General features: G+C 39.7%; 1 protein-coding gene across 15 annotated transcripts in view, besides 1 other annotated feature; it reads left to right on the top strand.

The window, feature by feature from the left end:
- Nucleotides 1-16,926, top strand: part of SLC9C2 (solute carrier family 9 member C2 (putative)) — a 102,613-nt gene extending 85,687 nt beyond the window's left edge. For 14 of the 15 annotated variants that reach the window (XM_047418170.1, XM_017001074.2, XM_047418169.1 and 11 more), the window contains 6 exons: nucleotides 7,687-7,818; nucleotides 10,345-10,530; nucleotides 12,055-12,139; nucleotides 13,005-13,042; nucleotides 14,060-14,120; nucleotides 16,289-16,926. In XM_047418170.1, coding sequence (XP_047274126.1) covers nucleotides 7,687-7,818; nucleotides 10,345-10,530; nucleotides 12,055-12,139; nucleotides 13,005-13,042; nucleotides 14,060-14,101 — 483 coding nt within the window. In that variant the 3' untranslated portion in view covers nucleotides 14,102-14,120; nucleotides 16,289-16,926. The remainder of the gene's footprint in view (nucleotides 1-7,686; nucleotides 7,819-10,344; nucleotides 10,531-12,054; nucleotides 12,140-13,004; nucleotides 13,043-14,059; nucleotides 14,121-16,288) is intronic. The other variant, NM_178527.4, reaches the window with a different exon arrangement.
- Nucleotides 11,377-12,576: an enhancer, noted in NCBI's record as "BRD4-independent group 4 enhancer chr1:173473949-173475148 (GRCh37/hg19 assembly coordinates)". NCBI's record gives its function as "activates an origin of replication core promoter dependent on BRD2, P300/CBP, MED14 and CDK7 cofactors, and independent of BRD4, by STARR-seq in HCT116 cells {active_cell/tissue: HCT116}" and the evidence as "EXISTENCE:reporter gene assay evidence [ECO:0000049][PMID:35650434]".
- Nucleotides 16,927-19,434: the final 2,508 nt, after the last annotated feature.

Here is a 19,434-nt window from a genome sequence, read left to right as displayed (position 1 = left end):
TCCCAGGCTCTGCCAAGCTCCACTGCATCCTGCCTAAGGGAGTAGTTATTTAACCTCCTTAAGTCTCAGTGTCCTTGTTTATGAAGTAGAGAGAATACCAACCTTTTGATGTTATGAGGATTAGGAAAACATCTACGTAAAATGCCTGACACATATAGGTGCTCAATAAATGGTCACCATTATGACAACAGTGTTTTTAAAGAATATTTATTTGTTTTTAAAACAACTCCATTAAAAAGTGGGCAAAATATATGAACAGATACTTTTCAAAAGAAGACATACATGTGGCCAATAAGCATATGAAAAAAAGCTCAACATAACTGATCAATAGAGAAATGCAAATCAAAACCACAATGAGATACCATCTCACACCAGTCAGAATGGCTGCTATTAAAAAGTCAAAAAGTAACAGGTGCTGGAGAGGTTGTGGAGAAAAAGGAACAATTACACACTGTTAGTGGGAGTATAAATTAATTCAACCATTGTGGAAGACAGTGTGACGTTTCCTCAAAGACCTAAAGACAGAAGTACCATTGACCCAGCAATCCCATTACTGGGTATATACCCAAAGGAATGTAAATCATTCTATTATAAAGACACATGCACATGTATGTTCACTGCAGCACTATTCACAACAGCAAAGACGTGGAATCAACCTAAATGCTCATCAATGATAGAGTGGATAAAGAAAACATGGTACATATATACCATAGAATACTATGTAGCCCTAAAAAAGAGTGAGATCATGTCTTTTGCAGGAACTATGGATGGAGCTGGAGGCCATTATCTTTAGTAAATTAATGCAGGAACAGAAAGCCAAATATCACATGTTCTCACATATAAGTGGGAGCTAAATGATGAGAACACACAGACACAGAGAGGGGAATAAAACACACTGGGGCCTATTGGAGGGTGGAGGGTGGAAGGAGGGAGAGAATCAGGAAAAATAACTACGGGTACTAGGCTTAATACATGGGTGATGAAATAATCTGTACAACAAACCCTCATGACACAAGTTTACCTATGTAACAAACCTGCATATGTACCACTGAACTTAAAACTTAAAAAAGGAATACTTGTTTGTTTTTAAACTTCCTTCTATGTTTCATTTGCTAAGTAAGAAGTTATCTATTCAACACCTAAGTGTCCTGACATTTCACTAGGTGTGGGGAATTCAAATAGAAATGAGCCAAAGACCAAGGGACAAAGTGGTTCGTTAAATGGGTCCTGCTCCCTGTGCCACCCAACTGGGTGATACCCTCCAATAGGGGTTATCAGACACCCTATACAGGAGCGTTCCTACTGGCATCAGTTCGGTGCCCCTCAAGGTCAGAGATCCCAGAGGAAGGAGCAGGCACCTATCTTTGCTGTTCTCCAGCCTCCTCGAGTGACATCTCCAGGTGTGGGAGCAAACCAGATGAATAGGGCCTGAAGCAAATCCCCAGCAAACTGCAGCAGCCCTGCAGAAGAAGGACCTGATCATTGCAAGAAAAACAGAAAGCAACAACAACAGCATCAACAACAACAAAAAAGTCCCCACAAAAACCCCATCTAAGGGTCAACAGCCTCAAAGATCAATATTAGACAAACTCATGAAGATGAGAAAGAATAAACGAAAAAACACTGAAAACTCAAAAGGCTAGAGTGCCTCTTCCCCTATACATGATCGCAATGCCTGTCCAGCAAAGGCACAGAACTGGATGGAGGACAAGATGGATGAATTGACAGAAGTAGGCTTTGGAAGGTGGGTAATAACAAACTCTGCTGAGCTAAAGGAGCATGTTCAAACCGAATCTAAAGAAGCTAAGAATCTTCATAAAAGGTTACAGGAGCTGCTAACTAGAATAACTAGTTTAGAAAGGAACATAGATGACCTGATGGAGCTGAAAAACACAGCATGAACGCTTCATGAAGCATGCACAAGGATCAATAGCTGAATCTATCAAGTGGAAGAAAGGATATCAGAGTCTGAAGACCATCTTGCTGAAATAAGGCATGCAGAGAAGATTAGAGAAAAAAAGAATGAAAAGGAACAAACAAAACCTCTGAGAAATATGGGACTATGTAAAAAGAACAAAGCTATGATTGATTGGAGTACCTAAAGAGGCAGGGAGAATGAAACCAAGTTGGAAAACACACTTCAGGATCAGGATGTTATCCAGGAGAACTTCCCTGACCTAGCAAGGCAGACCAACATTCAAATTCAGGAAATACAGAGAACACCACTAAGATACTCCATGAGAAGATCAACCCCAAGACACATAATCATCAGATTCTCCAAGGTTGAAATGAAGGAAAAAATGTTAAGGGCAGCCAGAGAGAAAGGCCAGGTCACCTACAAAAGGAAGCCCATCAGACTAACAGTGGACCTCTCCGCCGAAACCCTTCAAGCCAGAAAACAGTGGGGGCCAATATTCAACATTCTTAAAGAAAAGAATTTTCAGTCCAGACCTTCATATCCAGCTAAACTAAGCTCCATAAAAAAAGGAGAAATAAAATTCTTTCCAGACAAGCAAATGCTGAGGGATTTTGTCACCACCAGGCCTGCCTTGCAAGAGCTCCTGAAGGAAGCACTAAATATGGAAAGGAACAACTGGTACCAGCCACTGCAAAAACACTCCAAATATATAAAGACTAATGGCACTATGAAGAAACTGCATCAACTATTTTGCATAGTACGCAAAATAACCAGATAGCATCATGATGACAGGCTCAAATTCACACATAACAATATTAACCTTAAATGTAAATGGGCTAAATGCCCCAATTAAAAGACACAGACTGGCAAATTGGATAAAGAGTCAGGACTCACTGGTGTGCTACATTTAGGGGGCTCATCTCACATAGGCTCAAAATAAAGGGGTGGAGGAAAAATTACCAAGCAAATGGAAAACAAACAAAAAAAAAGCAGGGGTTGAAATACTAGTCTCTGACAAAACGGACTTTAATAAAGATCAAAAAAGACAAATAAGGGCATTACATAATGGTAAAGGGATCAATTCAACAAGAAGAGCTAGCTATCCTAAATATATATGCACCCAAGACAGGAGCACCCAGATTCATAAAGCAAATTCTTAGAGACTTACAAAGAGACTTGGACTCCCACACAATAATAGTGGGAGACTTTAACACCCCACTGTCAATATTAGATCAACAAGACAGAAAATTAACAAGCATATTCAGGACCTGAACTCAGCTCTGGATCAAGTGGAACTAATAGACATCTACAGAACTCTCCACCCTAAATCAACAGAATATACATTCTTCTCAGTGCCACATGGCACTTATTCTAAAATCAACCACAGAATTGGAAGTAAAACACTCCTTGGCAAATGCAAAAGAACTGAAATCATAACAAACTGTCTCTCAGACCACAGTGCAATCAAATTAGAACTCAGGGTTGAGAAACTCACTCAAAACCATGGAAATTGAACTACATGGAAATTGAACAATCTGCTCCTGAATAACTCCTGGGTAAATAATGAAATTGAGGCAGAAATCAAGAAGTTCTTTGAAACCAATGAGAACAAAGAGACAACATACCAGAATCTCTGGGACACAGCTAAAGCAGTGTTAAGAGGTAAATTTATAGCACTAAATGCCCACATCAGAAAGCTAGAAAGATCTCAAATCAACACCCTAACATCACAATTAAAAGAGCTAGAGAAGCAAGAGCAAACAAATCCAAAAGCTAGCGGAAGACAAGAAATAACTAATATCAGAGCAGAAATGAAGGAGACAGAGACACAAAAAACCCTTCAAAAAATGAATGAATCCGGGAGCTGATTTTTTTGAAAAAATTAACAAAATAGACCGCTAGCTAGACTAATGAAGAAAAGAGAGAGAAATCAAATGGATACAATAAAAAATGATAAAGGGGATATCACCACTGACCCCACAGAAATACAAACTACGATCAGAGAATAAACACCTCTATGTAAATAAACTAGAAAATCTAAAAGAAAAGGGTAAATTCTTGGACACATACACTCTCCCAAGACTAAACTAGGAAGAATTAAAATCCCTGAATAGACCAAAAATTAGTTCTGAAATTGAAGCAGTAATTAATAGCCTGCCAACCAAAAAAAGCCCAGGACCAGATAGATTCACAGCCGAATTCCACCAGAGATACAAAGAGAAGCTGGTACCATTCCTTCTGAAACTACTCCAAAGAGTTGAAAAGGTGGGACACCTCCCTAACTCATTTTATGAGGCCAGCATCATCCTGATACCAAAACCTGGCAGAGGCACAACAACAACAACAACAACAAAAAGAAAACTTCAGGTCAATATCTCTGATGAACATCAATGTGAAAATCCTTAATAAAATGCTGGCAAACCAAATCCAGCAGCACATCAAAAAAGCTTATCCACCACAATCAAGTCGGCTTCATCCCTGGCATGTAAGACTGGTTCAACATATGCAAATCAATAAACATAATCCATCAGATAAACAGAACCAATGACAAAACCACATGATTATCTCAACAGATGCAGAAAAGGCCTTCAATAAAATTCAAATCCCTTCATGTTAAAAACTCTCAATAAAGTAGGTATTGATGGAACATATCTCAAAATAATAAGAACTATTTATGACAAACCCACAGCCAATATCATACTGAATGGCAAAAGCTGGAAGCATTTCCTTTGGAACCTGGCACAAGACGAGGATACCCTCTCTCACCACTTCTATTCAACATAGTATTAGAAGTTCTGGCTAGGGCAATCAGGAAAGATAAAGAAATAAAGGTATTCAAATGGGAAGAGAGGAAATCAAATTGTCTCTGTTTGCAGCTGACATGATTCTATATTTAGAAAACCCCATTGTCTCAGTCCACAAACTCCTTAAGCTGATAAGCAAGTTCAGCAAAGTCTCAGGATACAAAATCAACATGCAAAAATCACAAGCATTGCTATGCACCAACAACAGACAAGCAGAGAGCCAAATCATGAATGAACTCCAATACACAATTGCTACAAAGAGAATAAAATACCTAGGAACACAGCTAACAAGGGATGTGAAGGACCTTTTCAAGGAGAACTACAAGCCACTCCTCAAGGAAATAAGAGGGGACACAAACAAATGGAAAAACATTCCATGCTTATGGATAGGAAGAATCAATAGTGTGAAAATGACCATACTGCCCAAAGTTATTTATAGATTCAATGCTATTTCCATCAAACTACCATTGACATTCTTCACAGAATTAGAAAAAACTATTTTAAATTTCATATGGAACCAAAAAAGAGCCCACATAGACAAGACAATCGTAAGCAAAAAGAACAAAGCTGGAGGCATCACGCTAGCTGACTTCAAACTATACCACAAGGCTACAGTAACCAAAATAGCATGGTACTGGTACCAAAACAGACATATGGACCAATGGAACAGAACAGAGGCCTCAGAAATAACCCTACACATATACAACTACCTCATCTTCGACAAACCTGATAAAAACAAGCAATGGGGAAAGGATCTCCTATTCAGTAAATGGTGTTGGGAAAACTGGTGAGCCATATGCAGAAAACCAAAACTGGACCCCTTCCTTACACCTTATACGTAAATTAACTCAAGATGGATTAAAGACTTACATGTAAAACCCAAAATCATAAAAACCCTAGAAGAAAACCTAGGCAATACCACCCAGGACATAGGCATGGGCAAAGACTTCATGACAAAAATGCCAAAGGCAATTGCAACAAAAGCCTAAATTGACAAATGAGATCTAATTAAAGAGCTTCTGCACAGCAAAAGAAACTATCATTAGAGTGAACAGGCAGCCTACAGAATGGGAGAAAGTTATTGCAATCTACCCATCTGACAAAGGTCTAATATCCGGAATCTACAAGGAACTTAAACAAATTTACAAGAAAAACCCCATCAAAAAGTGGGCAAAGGATATGAACAGACACCTTTCAAAAGAAGACAATTTACGTAGCCAACAAACATATGAAAAAAAGCTCAACATCACTGATTAGAAAAATGCAAATCAAAACCGCAATGAAATACCATCTCACACCAGTCAGAATGGCAATTATTAAAAAGTCAGGAAATGGGCCAGGCACGGTGGCTCATGCCTGTAATCCCAGCACTTTGGGAGGCTGAGGCAGGGGGATCATGAGGTCAAGAGATTAAGACCATCCTGGCCAACATGGGGAAACCCCATCCCTACTAAAAATACAAAAACTAGCTGGGCATGGTGGCGCACTTATAGTCCCAGCTACTCGGGTGGCTGAGGCAGGAGAATTGCTTGAACCCAGGAGGTGGAGGTTGCAGTGAGCCGAGATGCACCACTGCACTCCAGCTTAGTGAGAGAGTGAGACTCTGTCTCAAAAAAAAAAAAAAAAAAAAAAAAGGAAAAGAAAGGAAAAAAAATCCAGGAAACAATAGATGCTTGTGAGGCTGTGGAGAACTAAGAACACTTTCACACTGTTGGTGGGAATGTAAATTAGTTCAACCATTGTGGAAGACAGTGTGATGATTCCTCAAGGACCTAGAACCAGAAATACCATTTGACCCAGCAATCCCATTACTGGGTAAATACCCAAAGGAATATAAATCATTCTACTATAAAGACACATGCACATGTATGTTTATTGCCACACTATTCACAAGAGCAAAGACATGGAACCAACTTAAATGCCCATCAATGATAGACTGGATAAAGAAAATGTGGTACATACACACCATGGAATACTGTGCAGCCATAAAAAGGAATGAGAACATGTCCTTTGCAGGGACATAGATGAAATTGGAAGCCGCCATCCTCAGCAAACTTACACAGGAACAGAAAACCAAACACTGCATGTTCTCACTCATAAGTGGGAGTTGAACAATGAGAACACATGGACACAGGGAGGGGAACATCACACACCAGGGCCGTTTGGGGATTGAGGGGGTGAGAGGAATGAGAGCATTAGAATAAATAGCTAATGCATGGGGGGCTTAAAACTTAGATGACATGTTGATAGGTACAGCAAACCACCATGGCACACGTAGACCTAAGTAACAAACCTACGCATTCTGTACTTGTATCCTGGAACTTAAAGTACAATGAAATAATTAAACAAAAAAAGAAATGAGCCAAAGAATTCTCAATCTTTGGAGACTATATGATGCAAAAGAGCAGGATCCAGAGTCTTAGGGGTGTGTGGAGTGGAAGGAAATGTTGTTTTAGCTATTTCATGTCATTTCATTTTTGGAAGAGGAGAGAAGGCATGAGTTTAGTCATAAGGCTGAATTGAATTCACTGAAGTTCGTGTAACTTGAATCTGAAAGTGTATCTTTTTTATTCAGCTAAACTATTTGCCTCTGGAAACAAATACTGTGAATGAGCTCATGTTATCTACCATGACAATAAAAATAGATAAGTTCATATGGCTTAGTTCCTGAATCCTGGACTTTGGGCTCATGAGCCATATCCTTCATTATATCTATTGACTGATATACATTTTTCTGGTCTCTTATTAAAGTCTATAGCTTTAATCACACCATACATTTTATCATCTTATACTTAGCAAACAACCATTTTCACAATACAAATGCTTCTAAATGACAAGAGTATCATAATTATGCTAGAATTGATAGTTTTTCTGAAGGTTAAATCTGCAGGCATCTTGTTTTTTGATGGTCTTGTAATTTAGTTCCACATCAAGCTGCTATGGCCTGGTTCCTTTTTGTTTCAGGCCTGCTTTATCTCCCTGGAGGATTTATATGAAGGCTTTGATGCCTTCTGGCCATCTCTGGAATATAAAATATGGCTAAAGCTTGCTCTCAGTACTGCCTATCAGTATTTTGAATCAAGTCTTATTGATGAGGTAAGTTATGTGATTAAAATATTAATAAATTGAATTTTTATGCATTGTATTTTTTACAAAATGCATTTCATATTTTTGAGACAAAAATAGAAAGGAAATTTGTGTTTGATTTTTTTTTTTTTTGAGACAGAGGCTCACTCTGTTGCCCAGGCTGGAGTGCAATGGTGCAGTCTCAGCTCACTACAACCTCTGTCTCCCAGGTTGAAGCAATTCTCCTGCCTCAGCCTCCCAAGTAACTGGGATTATAGGCGCCTGCCCCCACCTCTGGCTAATTTTTTTTATTATTAGTAGAGACAGGATTTCACCATGTTGGCCAGGCTGGTGTTGAACTCCTGACCTCAAGTGATCTACTCACCTCGGCCTCCCAAAGTGCTGGGATTATAGGCGTGAGCCACTGTGCCTGGCCCTGTGTCTGCTTTTCTAAAATGAGATTGCTAGAATTTTAACTGCTCTCTTATCCTGAGTTCCTACAGGTTGTCAATCCTTTTGTCACAGCTAATTTTCCCAAGCTACTTGCAATCATTTCTAAAAAAAAAAAGAAGGTAGATTTAGCAAATTCAAAATAGGTAGATCCCCCCCTGAACCAAGCATAGTGTTAATCAGAATGTGTTAACAAACGCTCTGTCTGTATTTATTATTGCCTACTCTGCCGATGTTAATATAAGTCTGTAAATCTCCTGCCTTTTCAAAATCTTTGTGGAGGTGACTGAGCCTCTCTCATGGACTTCCCCTCCAAAGAGTAGTGGTTCAAGTTTTCTCTGGACAAGCACAATTTACAATCTCACATTTGTATCCTATTTAGTAACTATTGGAACCCTTACTAGCTAGTGAGTCAGGAACTGGGGAAGTGAACTGGGAAAGATTGGAAGTTCAGTAATATTCACTGAACTGAGCGACTGGGTATAAATAAATATTGGGTTAAAAAATGAGTGTGTCATACAAGCCAGTCAGGTTTCTTTTACTTTATTGCAATAATAACTTTCAGAAAAATTTTAGCAGAGGGATAAGGGGATTGGAATTCTTCTCTTTTCCTTTTACCTTGCATCTTCATGAGAAGTGGGACAAATTTAGAGTCTAGTATGAAACTTCAGGGGTGAGAATTAGGACCAATGGGTAGAAACTGTATGGACTCAGACTTGACTCAATAATAAGATGAATGTCCTTTAAATTTTTTTAAATTCACAAGCAACACATATTCATTATATAAATGAGAAAGTACAGATATAAAACATTAAAAAAATTGTATTTATTATTAAATAGAGAATCTCTATTTAATACTTAGTTTCTTTCTTTTTTTTTCCATTAAAGAACTAGCCAATTAAGATTTTTTTCCCTCTAAATCACAGAACTCAAAATGTATATGCATTTTAAAATCAAACCAAAACAGCTGATTTTTTTTTAGATTTTCTGGTTGTGAAATACTAGATACATTTGCTAATTTTTAAATGTTTTTGGTTCCCAGTTGTGCTGGTGCCCTCAGCAAATAAATGTATGATTCACCTGTCAGTGACTGAGATTCAGGGACTGGCTCATGTAGCTGTGCCCTGAATGGGGGTGGAGATGTTTAGACTGAGCTGACAGCCCTGTCAGGGCCCTGTGCAGGAGATGCCTACTGTTGGGCTGATCTCTAAATTCCTGGGTTAGTTTGCAAGCACGGCTGTAACAAAGTACCACAAACTGGGTGGCGTAAAAAAACCAGAAATGCATCGTTTCACAGTTCTGGAGGCTAGAAATTAGAAATCAAGGTGTTGGGAGGATTGGCTCCTACTGAGGGGCTGTGAGGGAGAATCTGGGCCAGGCCTCCCTCCTTGGCTTATAAATGGCTGCCTTTATATTCACGTGGCGTTCTCCCTGTGTGCAAGTCTGCGTCCAAGTTTCCCCTTTTTATAAGGACACTAGTTGTTCAAATTAGAGGCCCAACCTATTCCAGTATGACTTCATCTTAACTAATTGCATCTGCAATGACCCATTTCAATAAGGTCACATTCCAGGATACTGGGAGTTAGGACTTCAGCATAAGAATTGGGTGGGAGGTGGTGTGTGTGTGTGTGTGTGTGTGCACAATTCAACCCATAATAACTCCCTCCCAGTTCTAAAGTCTATGACTCTGAGCCTTGAAGTATAGCTCAGACTCTAGCTTGCTTTGTTTTGGCTTTGTGTTATTCCTATTCACCTGTCAAGTGGAACATAAGCTTACTTGTAAGTGAAACTCTGAATCTTTTAAGACTCTGAGTCTTGTGCAAATAGAAATCTCCTGAGTCATAGCCAACTACCCTGCTGTGGCTGAGAGCTCACAATTTAGGGCTGGGCAACAGTATCCAGGGCCCATTAACAGCATAAACATTTGGAATTTAGAAATTTGTCAGAGGCCATTCTGAATGCTAAATAAATCCTGTCTGTTGGTGCCAGGGGCTGTGTACCTTCTGACACCCTCAAATAATTCAGATAGATCAGTAAATCTGTTTTCTTCTTGATACCATCTGTCAGTTTGTATGACTTATTTTCTAAAATGCAATTTTATTATAGGACTTAAGGTTTCAGAACTGTGTGATGTTCAATCAAGCATATGTGGAAACTTTATCAAGCTATAGTGACATGATTATTGATAATATGACCATGAAATTTGTTATCATTGTGTATGGCAGTGTAATTGATACTAAGACAGAGGAACCATATTTTGCACCTTGCATTATACCTACAACCTGTGAGCAGGTAAGAAATATCATTTCTAAAGAGTCTCTTGCTCTTCACGGTGCTCCAAAAGTGACTTTAAAACTCAACTGATCACCTTAAAAAGAAATTTAACCTGGAATGACCCTGTAGTTCTTACTTGCCTTTTACAAACAGTAAAAATGTACCTAGGGCTTCTGTGTACTGTAATACAGGTGCCCTACACAAGGGTGTGCCCAAGGGACAGGGAGCTGAAATCTGCCTGCTGTTTGCTTGCCACGCCCTTTGCCCTGGCGTGGGGCTGTGCCAAAGGAAGGATGAGATGCTGTAAGTTTTCCCTAGTTTACGCCAAGGCAACGATGCCGTGTTCTAGCATAGCTCTGGAAGTATCTGCACTGGTTGACAAAAAAGGAGTAGAGTAGGGGCCACATCACTTTGTTGACACATTAGGGGCTATGGGCACTTGATAGTAGATCCTGGGCCCTGGGCCTCAGCATTCCATACCTCTGTAAAGACAAAGGAAGTGTGACCACCTAGGACATAAGAGGGCATGGGAAGGATAGAAGCAAAGTCCCTAATGGCCCAAGCTGCCTGCCACTGGGCAAAGGAATGGGGAGGACCCAGAGGCCATGGGAAGAGCTGACTGACATCTCTTTAAATCTGGCAGTAAGTTTCTACCTTATGGGAGAGACCTTTTCTCCCAGTTCAGGCTGTGAAAAGTCATTATGAAAATTTGTCCTGGAAAAGTTGGTAAACCTAAAAAATGAATTTTCTTCTTTCAAAACATTCTTATTTTGTACCTTTCATCAATTCAGATGATGAAGGTAATTTACATGTTTTTAATAGAAAATTAAAATCTTGTTTAGCTTTGAAACAAAGGATGGAGGCAAGAAGCAAGGAAGCAACAGGAGTAATACTGCAGCTTAGTTTCTTAAGAGACCAGGGTTTGGAGTCAGGCACACTTAGGCTTAAAACTTGATCCCTGTGCCTACTTGTACTTGAGCTTAGGTAAGTTGCTTAACCTTTCTGACCCTCAATTTCCTTCATGGTAAGATAGGGATAAGGTCAGCAGCCATCTTATCGGGTTATTGGGAGGATTAAATGAGATAATATGTGGTAATCTAAAAATGATAGTTATAATGATTACTTGTTTGATGCTGGCATTCTGGGAGGCAGATTTTATGGCACATGGGACAAATGGTCTAAGAAAGGAAGACAGTCTTGCCATCCTGGGAATGCTGAGCCTTGAGCCCTTGAGCATCAGTGTAGGAGTAAAAGTAGCTTACTGGATGCTGGGGATTCCCTGCTTTCCAAACTGGGAATTTCCAGCCTAGTTATGAGTAAGGTGTAGAAATTTCCTCTCTGGTGTCTAAATATGCAAGGACAATTTGTTGGTCTAAGACTTCTCAACATCAAAGAGGATTTGAAATTTAGAATATAGAGCCAAGATTGAAGACCCAGCTTTAGGCTTTGGCTTATTTTTTATACTCTTTGGAAAGATTAGGAAGCAGCCAGGTTAGAGATCAAAGAATGCTCTTTTGACTAATTTTGACTTTTCTCCTCTAGGTTCAGGGAACTTCTGATTTAAGCAAGCTGCTGATAATCCAAGCATCTGAGCTTACCCAAAGAAATAGTAACACCAATGTCATGGGTAAGGGGTAGACCTTTAGTGGTAGGAAAACTATTGAGAAGGAACTTCAATACATGTAAAATTCCTTTAACTCTAAGAAAGTGATTTGAGAGGGCACTATGTGGGTTTATCATTAGTCCCCATCCTTGGGCCCACCCTGGCTGCCACATTGCCCTGGGAGGTCACATATGAGAGACTTCCAGACCCTAAAATCCAGGTGGCTCCTTCCTCTGCCATGTCCCTCCCTCCATACACTAGTCAGGGGAGAGCAGCTTCTGCAATGCACTCTGTTGCTGCCCTGGTAGGCTGCAGCCACATGGTGCTGGCAGTGCAAGAATGGGGAGGGAACAGACTCTTTCACAGGAGCCCAGGTATGGGGAACTGGTTTGCTCCCAGCAACTGAAGGGAATAGGAAACCTTACCCATAGTCAGTGAGTATTCCATGGTCACAGCTACAAGTCAAATGACTTGCCTTGAGTATGCCTTGATAGTCACTGAGTAGCTATAGTTACATTTATTAGCATCCAACTGCATGCATCATGGTGCTAAGCATTATACAGAGAAGACTTGATAGGAAGAGCTTGCTCTAGAAAAAACACACACAAGATCTTCCATCTTGTGCTCAGCATCCCTGCCCTCCCAAGCCCAATGACAAAATTCTCCCAGCTGCCCCAGCTTGAGGACACACTCTAGCTTTGTAACTCTAACTTGCACCATCCCAGTGTTTACAATTCATGTGATCCATCAGTTTAGCTATTATGCAATTCTTAATGGATTGTTGCTTTGGGGGGAGGATTTGCACGATTTCAAATTGTGTGCGAAGAGTGACGTTTTCTCAGTCTTATATCTCACTGTTTCTCAATTGCTTGCTTTTTATAAAATGCAGCCCCGCTGTGTGCTGGGTACTGTGCCAAGTGCCAATTGGTGAGTGAGCCAGATAAGGTGTTTGCCTTCATAGGGAGGAGAGACAGATATTCAATAAGTAATTAAGCTTTTCCCTTGGCAGCAATTTGAACCTCAGAGGTTCCTGTGGCTCACCCTCTTCTAGGGTCATATGCAGCACTGTGATTTAGGGAGCCCCCTCTGCTCCTGGGTCACCTTTCCAAGTTGGCTAGCACTGAGATGACCATTTCCCCAGCTCACAGTCTCTGAAGGTCTGCCGCTCTGCTGCTTTCAAATCACTCTTGGGGCACAGGAGTCTATGGCAAGGCTGGGAACTCAGGGTCTAGCGTCAGCCCCCTTGGGGCACCCTAAGAAGGGCTATTGAGTCAGAGATCTTAAGCACTGTCAGGGAGCAGGGCACAGGTCCCTAGTGTTCTTGTGCCCACAGGCCCCTTTTCTTGATGAGTTTCTCTGTAATCATTTTTAGATAGAGGGAAACACATCACTTTGTATTCCTCATGGGTTTCAGACAAAAGTCACAAATGGTAGGCACGTGGACTGGATCTTTGACTCTTAATTTGTTTAAGAGTCACTTGTTTTCTTTTAAAATTTTAAAATTAGTTGCCAAGTAGAAACAAATGTTTTGCATTTTAAAAATGCAGATTTTGAAGTTTTCATGAAAAAATAAGGTCTGCCAGCACTCAGCCCTCATTCCTGTATGTGGCAATAGATAGGGCTGAGTATCATTTGGCTTCTATAGAGGGAGCAGATGCTCTGCAGCTTGCCACAGTCCACACTGCTCACTCTCGCCTTTACCCCGCCCACTTCAACTGTTTACGTGATCTGCCTATTCTCATATGAGTTTGTCAGCCCTTGTATTGGACTTTAGGGAGCCTACTACGAACCTCTGAGGGAAGAAAAACAGGGACATTTGAGAGGGGGAAGGGAAAAGGGAAACTTATAGGGAGAAAGCAAATAGATATTTCAAAATATTTTCTGGTTGCCTTTACTCTTAAATTCCTAATTTACTTTTTCTGTTCAATGCTTGGATTTGGTTAGCCTCAGTCAACACGGTCTTTGAACAACCAGGAAAGAATATAAATGGAAGACAAAAGATGAGGTAATAAACTTGACACTTTGATTAGAATTTTTTCTTATTGCAAATATTGAACTATACAGCTAAAATAAATTGAGGCAAAATAGCAAATTGTAGGTGGTGAGAAAAGACACTCCTAGCTACAACTCATTAATTTGGACAAATTAGAATAAACCCCATTTAAATTACTTAAAAATTAAAATTACAGAGTATTTTTGAAAGATGTAATTTTGCCCCACCCCATTTTTACCCCCCTCACTGATATTTAGGTCAAAGAGTAGGGATCTATGGAATTTGGGGTGAGGAGGGACATACATCATGCACACGTGTAGACACTAGGGTCTAAATATCCATGCTCTGCCTCTGGAGTGTGGATTCCTGGATGTACAGATTGCTATGCTTGCAGTTTGTGGAGTCACAGGCTGATCACACGCATCTTCCTAGAGTACCAGTTTTACTTGAGGATCCTTTAAAGAAAAAGGTTAACTCATTTAACTGGTAGGTTATTTGAAACATTTTATATTAAAAAACATATTATCGAGTAGGATGACAAATTTGCATGAATTTTTAAGATAAAACAAGAGACTTCAAGACATTTTGTTGTGGAGAGTCATGTAGATGTTTGCCCCTACATCTTTTCCTTCTTTCCTCAGTAACCAGGACAAATTTAGAGAAGTTTGAGAAGGCTGGAAGTCACGCCTAGAGTTGAAAAGGAATATGGGCCTGTCTTATTGGACCAGGACAGAATAGAGACAATTTTGGTGGTGGTGGGGCAGCCTGCAGGGCTCATGACTGTAGAGGTCTCTATTAGGGCTCCTGTTTGGGCCAGAGCAGACTGCTGGGTGGACTGGAGGAGCAGATGGCTCTGACAGGTTAATAGGGTGCTAGACAAATGCAGAAGTGGGCCAGGTAGCAGTGATGGTGCTAAGCACAGGCTTCAAGGACCTTTAGCCTTTTCCCAGCCAGGTGCCAAGTCATCCCAAATAAACAGCTTTTTTTTTTTTTTTTTTTTTTTTTGAGATGGAATCTCACTCTGTCACATGGGCTGGAGTACATTGGCACAACCTTGACTCACTGCAACCTTTGCTTCCTGGATTCAAGCGATTCTCCTGCCACAGCCTCTGGAGTAGCTGGGACTACAGGCACATGCCACCATGCCTGGCTACTTTTTTGTATTTTTAGTAGTGACAGGGTTTCACCATGTTAGCCAGGATGGTCTCGATCTCCTGACCTTATGATCTGCCTGCCTTGGCCTCCCAAAGTGCTGGGATTACAGGCGTGAGCCACCGCGCCCAGCCATAAACAGCAAGAGAAGTCCCTTGGCCCACATTATCCCCAACTAGACAGCCACCCTAAGACTCTTCTAATAGCAATGTTGGTCCTGCCACTGTTATTTATGATAATCAAGGTAGTCTGCAGAATATTTGTTGGGGAAAGGAAAGTTGCATTGACCAAATTTATGGTCAATAGTTCCTTTAAACCAGGTAACTTGGTTCTTTTTAGGCAGCCCTCCTAGGGCCTTCCTCTCCTCTCTCTTAAAGGGACCTTATTTCACAAAGAGGAATTAAGAGTCAAATAATTGGTCTGGCGTGGTGGCTCACACCACCAAAAATTAGCTGGGCGTGGTGGTGGGCGCCTGTAGTTCCAGCTACTCAGGAGGCTGAGGCAGGAGAATGGCATGAACCTGGGAGGCGGAGGTTGCAGTGAGCCGAGACCATGCCACTGCACTCCAGCCTGGGCAACAGAGTGAGACTCTGTCTCAAAAAAAAAAAAAAAAAAAAAAAGAGTCAAATAATTGAGTTCCTCATTTGTTACTATCTTGTCTCAGCCCCCATTACTTAAAAAGATTCCCATTCCGATTTACAAAAAAAGTTTCCAATAGCCCTGCAATCAGTCATAAAGTTAATTGGAATTCAACTTCTGTAACATTTCTCTTCTTCTTAAACCCACCTTTGATAGACTACTCTCATGGAATTAATGTAGTATCTCTTCACAAGATGACAGCGTAGAGATGCACATGTAATTAATTATATGCATCACTCAAAACTCTTCATATGAAGATCTTTTAGGAGGAATGTTTCAGATAATAAAATAGAAATGCCTACATAAGTTTTCTGGTTCCATTTAATAGGTAAGAAGTTTTTCCTGAAATGTTTATAGGCTAATATTTAACTTTTGACTTTCTTTTATAGTTGAAAACTGGATACCATTTTAGAAAAGGGTATTAATGATACAAATATGATGTGTGGAGTCAGGTTAAAGACCAAACTACTTTCCTCGCTCAAATACTAAAGGATTATCTGCAAGGAGTTTACTTAGAAGCTACTGAAACAGGTTACTGCTGCATTTAGTTTATAAGCAATGGATGGACTTCTGTAAAACTTCTTAATTTTAAGTAGTTGCATTATATTTGGGATGTTAAAAAAGTCTTCAGGATAATATAAAATACACTGAAACATATGTCCTACCAAATGAAACCCTGTTTCCAGCTAAGAGCAAATTTTAACATAGTGCATTATAAAAAGTGTTGTATAACTGATATGTTACTCTCTAAAGCATAGAACCTGTAATTTTCATTTGTGAAATTGTTATAATTAGTGCCTCCCTAATATTTTCCCGAGTATAGCTATTCTCCCCTTCCCAGTTTGGTAAATATTGAAAAACAGAATTATATTCCACAATCTTAGTAACTTTCAGTAAGTAAGTAACTTTTGCTTTCAGTGAAATTTAGGAGAAATTAATATTCTCATATTGCATAGTACTGTTTGATGTCACCTTTCATTTTATTTTTAAAAATCAAATAAAGTTGAGTTTTATGGTTGTCTATTTATTATTAGAACCCATTATTCCTTTTCATCTCAACAAGACTGAAAGGAATACATAATACTTTAGAAGAAAACCATAATAGTGTTATAGGAAAGGGGTCAGATCCAGACCCCAAAAGAGGGTTCTTGGATCTCGTCCAAGAAAGAATTCAAGGTGAGTCCCAGTGCAAAGTGAAAGTAAGTTTATTAAGAAAGTAAAGGAATAAAAGAATGGCTACTCCATAGACAGAGCAGCCCCAAGGGCTGCTGGTTGCCTATTTTTATGGTTATTTCTTGATGATATACTAAACAAGGGGTGGATTATTAATGCCTCTCCTTTTTAGACCATATAGGGTAACCTCCTGACGTTGCCATGGCATTTGTAAACTGTCATGGTGCTGATGGGAGTGTAGCAGTGAGGACGACCAGAGGTCAGTCTTGTCACCATTTTGGTTTTGGCTGGCTCCTTTACTGCAACCTGTTTTATCAGCAAGGTCATTATGACCTGTATTTTGTGCTGACTTCATGACTTAGATTGCTTTATCCGTCTGGGAATGCAGCCCAGTAACTTTCAGCCTCATTTTACCCAGCTCTTATTTAAGATGGAGATGCTCTGGTTCACATGTCTCTGACATTTCCCTCTCCCTTTTATGAAAGAATCCTTAATCCTGAGGGTTGCAGAGGGATGACGATCCATCTTCTGTAGCTTTTTCAGGTTGAATGGGGTGATGATATTCTTGCCTAACTATGAGGGTCTCTTGCATTCAGGGTAGAGAGGAGCTTAGTAAGAAAGCATCAGTATAGTAAGGTCCATTCATAATTATTGAATTTTGACAAAAGGTGATATCTGGAAGATTTATAAGTGTTTAATTTAAGAAAACATTTAGGGCCAGGCGTGGCGGCTCACAACTGTAATACCAACATTTTGGGAGGCCAAGGTGGGTGGATCATGAGGTCAGGAGTTTGAGACCAGCCTGGTCAATATGGTGAAACCCCATCTCTACTAATAATACAAAAACTAGCCAGGCGTGGTGGTGTGTGCCTGTAGTTCCAGCTACTCAGGAGGCTGAGGCAGGAGAATCACTTGAACCCGGGAGGCAGAGGTTGCAGTGGGCCAAGATCACGCCACTGCACTCCAGCTTGGGTGACAGAAGGAGACTCCATCTCAAAAGAAAAAAAAAAAAAGGAAACATTTAGTATGCTTGTTCTGTTTTCCTACACAAAGAGTATAACAGCAATATATTCCACAAGAGTAAAACAAAGTAAGTAAAGTTATATTCTAAATAAACTAAATTAGAAGGCTTTTCATGAATTGGGCAACCGTTGGAGCTAAGCTGGTATGGGGTCAGTTGGTTGTAATGTGCCCAGAATTAGAATACTGATCCAGATTTTCACATTACCCGTCCTCTTGTTTTTTTCTGAGCAACAGTCAGAGATTACTGGTTGGTTCATAGGAATAAGCAGGGTTAGCCTAAATTGCAGAAACAGAGACAACTAATGAGACTAGAATTTAAGTGTACCATAGTTCTTGAAACATAATATTTCTCTCTCCAGTATTCCATTTTTACTAAAGACAAATCATGATGAGACTGATTTACTTTATTATACATGGCCTGATTATTTGTATAAAGTGCAGCAAGAATAATTATTTTTCACATAGGTTTTTTTAATTGGCTTTGATAGAACTCTGTTTTATAAGGAATCTCAGATAAGACTTTTTAAAAACTGAGTCCAGCCATGGGTTTGTACCCTCTAATACCTATGAGTTGGGTAAGTTTCTTTCCTCTTGCAGTCCCGAGATAACTTACTTCTACTTCTACTGGACTTGATAGAAAGTGACATTCTTTAGTTACCACAAGTCAGAAACCCTGTACAGGGACTGTGTAGGCAAGGTATGAGGCCAGTTCCCCAAAGGGCTTTTATTGGCTCTACAAGTTCATTTTAATTCCTTAAAGGAAAACACACCATTCCAATGAAAGCCTTGGTAAAATTATAAATTTCTGCAATTGTGCCCTTTTACAAAAGAAAACAGATTCTTATTGTACTTATGCAAATTACTATATTGCCATAAGTTAGGAATACTTGCAACTAGTTTCCAAATTCTGGAGAAATCAGGTAGAGAGAAACAAATATGTTCCAAATTTTGTTCACAGTAGTATATTTTACTCAATTGCTAACAGCTGTAAATAGAAAAACTCAAAAGAAAAGTTTCCTTGACTCTGAAAAACAAAACAAAGGATCAGCAGCATTTTAAGCAAAGTTAAAAAGATTAGTTCAGTTTTCTATTGGTTCAGTTAATTTAGTTAACACCTGTTCTATTTTATATTCATGAACATTCCAGCTCTTCATGAGAGTTCTAAAAGTTGTTTTCTCTATTCTGATGTTATAATCTCCAAAGTTATCAGAAAAACCTGCATTTAAGAACACCTGTTAGAGTTCTATAATTGATTATAAACCACCTTCTAAAGAGGATTAAAACAAAGTAATAATTGTCTGTGGCTGACAAAATGTTTTAGGGCAGCCACAATCAAAGA

This window comes from Homo sapiens, chromosome 1 (assembly GCF_000001405.40).
Source record: "Homo sapiens chromosome 1, GRCh38.p14 Primary Assembly".
Taxonomy (NCBI): Eukaryota; Metazoa; Chordata; class Mammalia; order Primates; family Hominidae; genus Homo; species Homo sapiens.
The sequence above is the reverse complement of the archived record's forward strand: the minus strand, read 5'-3'. Positions and strand labels throughout refer to the sequence as shown.